This window comes from Homo sapiens, chromosome 17 (assembly GCF_000001405.40).
Source record: "Homo sapiens chromosome 17, GRCh38.p14 Primary Assembly".
Lineage (NCBI taxonomy): Eukaryota > Metazoa > Chordata > Mammalia > Primates > Hominidae > Homo > Homo sapiens.
In genome coordinates this window covers 3,630,677-3,636,458 of record NC_000017.11, presented here as the reverse complement: position 1 = coordinate 3,636,458, position 5,782 = coordinate 3,630,677, and the positions used below count along the sequence as shown (strand labels likewise).

Sequence of the window (5,782 nt, the reverse complement as noted above, 5' to 3'; positions counted from 1 at the left end):
GGGGCGGGGCCCCCTTTAGGTCCCGCCTTCCGCCGCCTCTCCGCCTATAGCCGGGGCCCGCCGAGAGGTTGCGTGGAAGCTCGCCTTCCCCGGCCAGTGGGAAGACGAGAAGCCTCCATGTTGGGTGTGGCTGAAAGATTGGCAGGCGACTCCCCGCCCCTGCCCCGCCCCCCTGGGCGAAGAGCGCGGACTTGTGGGGCCGCTGGCTGCAGACTGGAGCTGCGCGGGTCAGGGAGATAATGGCTGCGCGGCCGATCACCCTCGGCATTGACCTGGGCACCACATCTGTGAAGGCAGCTCTGCTGAGGGCCGCGCCCGACGACCCATCCGGGTTCGCAGTGCTGGCGAGCTGTGCCCGTGCTGCGCGGGCAGAGGCGGCGGTCGAGAGCGCGGTGGCCGGGCCCCAGGTGAGTTGGACCCCCGGGGCCGCGCCGCCTCCAGGAGCCTCCTGACCACCCTTTTCCACCCCAGGAGGCCTCCCTGACAGCCCTTCCCGCAATGAAGTCTCTATTCCAGCTTGTCCCCAGCTTCTCCAGGGGCCCGTCTGCCTGCAGCAGCTGTGCTCATGATCCCTTAGGTCTGGTCCCAGAATCCTTCCCACCTGCTGGGACCGATTCCCCCCCGCCCCCTCCCCGACTCTCTGGCTTCTTCTGGGGGCCTTGCGCTTGGCGCTGGATCCCTGTGCTCTCTGTCCCCTGACCTTGGAGGAACTGATCTCTTGTGTGTATGGAATGACCACAGGCCTCCCTTTCACTCTTGCTGCTCTCCGCTCCTCACACCTGCCCTGTGACCTCAAGTTCAGGATTCAGTTTGTTGCCCAGGGCAGAGTCTGGGTTTTCCTCCGGAAATCAGATGTCAAATCAGGCCTAACTGGCTCCTGGCTCATTCCACAGAAGCAGAATGCGGACCAAGAAACCTTTGGTCAGCCGGGCGCGGTGGCTCACGCCTGTAATCCCAGCGCTTTGGGAGGCCGAGGCGGGCGGATCACGAGGTCAGGAGATCGAGACCATCCTGGCTAACACGGTGAAACCCCGTCTGTACTAAAAATACAAAAAATTAGCGGGGCGTGGTGGCGGGCGCCTGTAGTCCCAGCTACTCGGGAGGCTGAGGCAGGAGAATGGCGCGAACCCGGGAGGCGGAGCTTGCAGTGAGTCGAGATCGCTCCGTTGCACTCCAGCCTGGGTGACAGAGCGAGACTCCTTCCCTTCCTTCCCTTCCTTCCTTCCTTCCTTCCTTCCTTCCTTCCTTCCTTCCTTCCTTCCTTCATTCTTTCCTTTCTTTCTCTTTCTTACCAAGTCTCGCTCTGTTGCCCAGGCTGGAGTACAGTGGCGTGATCTGGGCTCACTGCAACCTCCGCCAACTGGATTCAAGTGATTCTCCTGCTTCAGCCTCCCGAGTAGCTGGGACTACAGGTGTGAGCCACCGCGCCCGGCTACTTTTTGTATTTTTAGTAGAGACAGGGTTTCGCCATGTTCGCCAGACTGGTCTTGAACTCCTGACCTCAAGTGATCTGCCCACTTCAGCCTCCCAAAGTGCTAGGATTACAGTTGTGAGTCACTGCGCCTGGCCCAGCTTTGTTTTTCACAAGCTCTTGCCACATACATGGACACGGTTGTTTAGGGTTCAGAGCCCATTTGGCTCAGAAGCATTTCTGAGGATAGGGATTTCAGGAGCACTTTGTATCTACATAGAAGCTTTCAAGATTAGTTTGGTTGGGACATTAGGGCATATTAAAAGGATTCTTACTTAAAGGACTATGAATTGGAGGCAAAGTTGGCTCTGACCCTGGTGGGGTGAGCAGGAGAGCTGGCATTAGGGGAGAGTAGGCTCAGAAAGTGCCAGTTTCTCCTGAAATAGAGCACTTCTTTTTTTTTTTTTTTTTTTTTTGAGACAGGGTCTCGCTCTGTCACCCAGGCTGGAGTGCAGTGGTGCAATCTCTGCTCACTGAAACCTCTGCCTCCCGGGTTCAAGTGATTTTCGTGCCTCAGTTTCCCGAGTAGCTGGGATTACAGGTGTGCGCCACCATGCTTGGAGAATTTTTTTGTATTTTTGGTAGAGATGGGGTTTCACCATGTTGGCAAGGCTGGTCTCAAACTCCTGACCTCAACTGATCTGCCTGCCTCGGTTTCCCAAAGTGCTGGGATTACAGGTGTGAGCCACCGCACCCAGCATGGCCACTTTTTTTTTTTTTTTAATTGATCACTCTTGGGTGTTTCTCGCAGAGGGGGATTTGGCAGGGTCATAGGACAATAGTGGAGGGAAGGACAGCAGATAAACAAGTGAACAAAGGTCTCTGGTTTTCCTAGGCAGAGGACCCTGCGGCCTTCCGCAGTGTTTGTGTCCCTGGGTACTTGAGATTAGGGAGTGGTGATGACTCTTAACGGGCATGCTGCCTTCAAGCATCTGTTTAACAAAGCACATCTTGCACCGCCCTTAATCCATTTAACCCTGAGTGGACACAGCACATGTTTGAGAGAGCACAGGGTTGGGGGTAAGGTCACAGATCAACAGGATCCCAAGGCAGAAGAATTTTTCTTAGTACGGAACAAAATGAAAAGTCTCCCATGTCTACTTCTTTCTACACAGACACAGCAACCATCCGATTTCTCAATCTTTTCCCCACCTTTCCCCCTTTTCTATTCCACAAAACCGCCATTGTCATCATGGCCCATTCTCAATGAGCTGTTGGGTACACTACCCAGACGGGGTGGTGGCCGGGCAGAGGGGCTCCTCACTTCCCAGTAGGGGCGGCAGCACGGCCACTTCTTGAAAACTTTTCTGCCCTCCCTCCCCAGCTTTCAGCAGGCTGTTCTGTGCTTACAGGCTCACCCAGTGTGTCACACCTATTTAATGAAGTGCTTAGCGGAGGCCAGTCATTAACCCCCCCACACCACATATGAATCGTGCTCTGGGACAAACAGCACTGCTGTGAGTTAGTCTATATAGCAGGGTTTCTCAACCTTGGTGCTGCTGACATTTTGGGCTGCATAGTTTTTGTTGTGTGAGGGGTGTCCTGCATGTTGTAGAATGTTTAGCAACATCTCTGGCCCACTAGATGCCAGCCACGCTTGCCCCTCTTCCCCAGATGTGACAACCAAAAATGTCTCCATGTTGCCAAATGTTCCCTAGGTGACAAGACCACCCCGAGTAGGAACCAGTGATCTATAGTCATATCTGTGGCCGGGCGCGGTGGCTCTTGCCTGTAATCCCAGCACTTTGGGAGGCGGAGGTGGGTGGATCACTTGAGGTCAGGAGTTCGAGACCAGCCTGGCCAACATGGTGAAACCCTGTCTCTACTACAAAATAACAAAAATTAGCCGGGCGTGGTGATGCGTGCTTGTAATCCCAGCTACTTGGGAGGCTGAGGCAGGAGAATTGCTTGAACTCGGGAGGCAGAGGTTGCAGTGAGCCCAGATCATACCACTGCACTCCAGCCTGGGCAACAGAGTAAGACTCTGTCTCCAAAAAAAAAAAAAAAAAAAAAAAAGTAATATCTGCTGGCTGTGTTCTTTCCTCAAGTTCATACTTTTCACTCATAAGTATTAGCTATACCAGGGTCAAGCTTGGCAGCTGTGCAGACAATCAGTTTTTGGTATTTGCCCATTTAAAATACAAGGTTTTCGAGGGCAGTTCTGTGACCCTTTCACAGTTTATATTTATTTTTCCTCTCTGGGCATCAGTTTCCTCCGCTGTAAAAAGAGGCCTGAGGAGTAGGATTTAATGAGCTTCTAAGTACTGTGTGCAAGTCTAAAGCGCGAGGATTCGACGTGGATGTAGACCAACTGATATTCTGAGCCAAGGAGTGGGGGCAATGTCTATTCCTGTTACACTGGGGGTCTGTCCAAGAGCTACTCCCCAATCACACCCGCCCCTAAAACTGTTTCTAACTGCTGAACACTGCCTCCTTGTCTTTACCACATCCAGCCTGCTTACTTCTTCCCGTGTCTCCCCCCACACAACTCACGCACCCACTCACCCTGGGACCATTTGAAACAGCAGCTCTGTCCTGGGATGACACACCACCCCATGGCCATGTGGAGTCTTACTGTGTTGCTGAGGCTGGTCTCAGGCTGGTCTCAAAGTTCTGGGATCAAGTGATCTCCTGCTTCAACCTTCCCAGTGGCTGCGATTATAGGCGTGAGCCGCTGCGCCCAGCTGGGAGGACTCTTTAAACTAGCTCTGTCCAGTAGAAATATGACCTGCAGGCCAGGCGCGGTGGCTCACGCCTGTAATGCCAGCACTTTGGGAGGCCGAGGCGGGCGAATCACGAGGTCAAGAGATCGAGACCATCCTGGCCAACATGGTGAAACCCCGTCTCTACTAAAAATACAAAAATTAGCCGGGTGTGGTGGCGCGCACCTATAGTCCCAGGTACTTGGGAGGCTGAGGCAGGAGACTCGCATGAACCTGGGAGGCAGACGATGCAGTGAGCTGAGATCACACCACTGCACTCCAACCTGGTGACAGTGAGATTCCGTCTCAAAAAAAAAGAAATGTAACCTACAAATGGAGCCAGGCGTGGCCTTTTCAATTTTCTAGCAGCCCTATTAAAATAAACAAGTGAAATTAATTTTAATTGCATATTTTATTTAACCCAGTGTATCCAGCACATTATCAGTTTGATGTGTGATAATCAAGGCTGGGTGCGGTGGCTCACACCTGTAATCCCAGCACTTTGGGAGGCCGAGGTGGGTGAATCCCTGAGGCCAGGAGTTTGAGACCAGCCTGGCCAACGTGGCGAAACCCCGTCTCTACTAAAAATACAAAAATTAGCCCGGCGTGGTGGTGTGAGCCTGTAATCCCAGCTACTCCGGAGGCTAAGGCAGGAGAATCACTTGAACCTGGGAGGCAGAGGTTGCAGTGAGCCAAGATTATGCCACTGCACTCTAGCCTGAGCAATAGAGAGAGACTCTATCGCTAAAAAAAAAAAAAAAAAAAAAAAAAAAGCATTAAATTAGATAGTGTATATTTTTTGTCATACTAAATTGTAGTCCGGTGCATGTTTTACATTTACATGTCAATTCAGACTAGCCACAAGTGGCTAACGATTTCAGTATTGGACAGTGAGGGTCTAAACAAATGTCTATTCCCAGAACCCTTCTTCCTGCCCCCCACCCCCATGTCCCCACCCTGCTCTTCTTTCCTCCCTCTGGTGATCCTGCATAGCCACCTGGCTCCTCTGTGCCTCTTGTCTTCCACTTCCTCTTGGCTGTGGCCTCTCTTGCATGTAGAATCCTTGTTGAGCTCTGGGGCTGCTTCCTAGGAAAAGGCTGTGCTTCCCCTGTACTCCCTGCCCCATCCTACCCCTCCTCTCCTCCCTTCTTTCTCTTCTTTGTTCCTGCTTGTTAGGAGCCAAGAGCTGCCCCTGACCAAGGCCGCAGGCTGACAGGGGCAAGCGAGAGGTTTTCCGAGGAGGGGAAGACAGCACTCCCGGGAGGGAAGCAAGACGTCTGAGAACTCAGCCTTCAGATGCCTTTCTAAGACCTTAGCTTTGCTAGTTCCTCAAAGAGCTGACATTTATTGAGAGCTGAGCCACAATTCTCTTCCCCTTCTTCTCTTCTGAACTTTCTGTGGATTCCTCTAGTTGGTTTTTTTGAGATGGAGTCTCACTTTGTCACCCAGGCTGGAGTGCCGTGGCGTGATCTCGGCTCACCGCAACCTCCGCCTCCCAGATTCAACCGATTCTCCTGCCTCAGCCTCCTGAGTAGCTGGGATTACAGGTGCATGCCACCATACCCGGCTAATTTTTTGTATTTTTAGTAGAGACGGGGTTTCATCATGT

The 5,782-nt window shown here is 52.7% G+C and overlaps 1 protein-coding gene across 1 annotated transcript in view, besides 2 other annotated features; it reads left to right on the top strand.

Annotated features, from left to right (window-relative positions):
• Nucleotides 209-5,782, top strand: part of SHPK (sedoheptulokinase) — a 28,011-nt gene continuing 22,437 nt past the window's right edge. The window contains exon 1 of the mRNA NM_013276.4: nucleotides 209-407. Within this exon, the coding sequence (NP_037408.2) occupies nucleotides 240-407 (168 nt within the window). The 5' untranslated portion in view covers nucleotides 209-239. The remainder of the gene's footprint in view (nucleotides 408-5,782) is intronic.
• Nucleotides 434-493: a silencer, noted in NCBI's record as "silent region_8014". NCBI's record gives its function as "represses an Ori minimal core promoter by ATAC-STARR-seq in GM12878 lymphoblastoid cells {active_cell/tissue: GM12878}" and the evidence as "EXISTENCE:reporter gene assay evidence [ECO:0000049][PMID:35858748]".
• Nucleotides 1,792-2,657: an enhancer, noted in NCBI's record as "NANOG-H3K27ac hESC enhancer chr17:3537096-3537961 (GRCh37/hg19 assembly coordinates)". NCBI's record gives its function as "activates a minimal SCP1, AML or CMV promoter by ChIP-STARR-seq in naive H9 embryonic stem cells {active_cell/tissue: H9 hESC(naive)}" and the evidence as "EXISTENCE:reporter gene assay evidence [ECO:0000049][PMID:30033119]".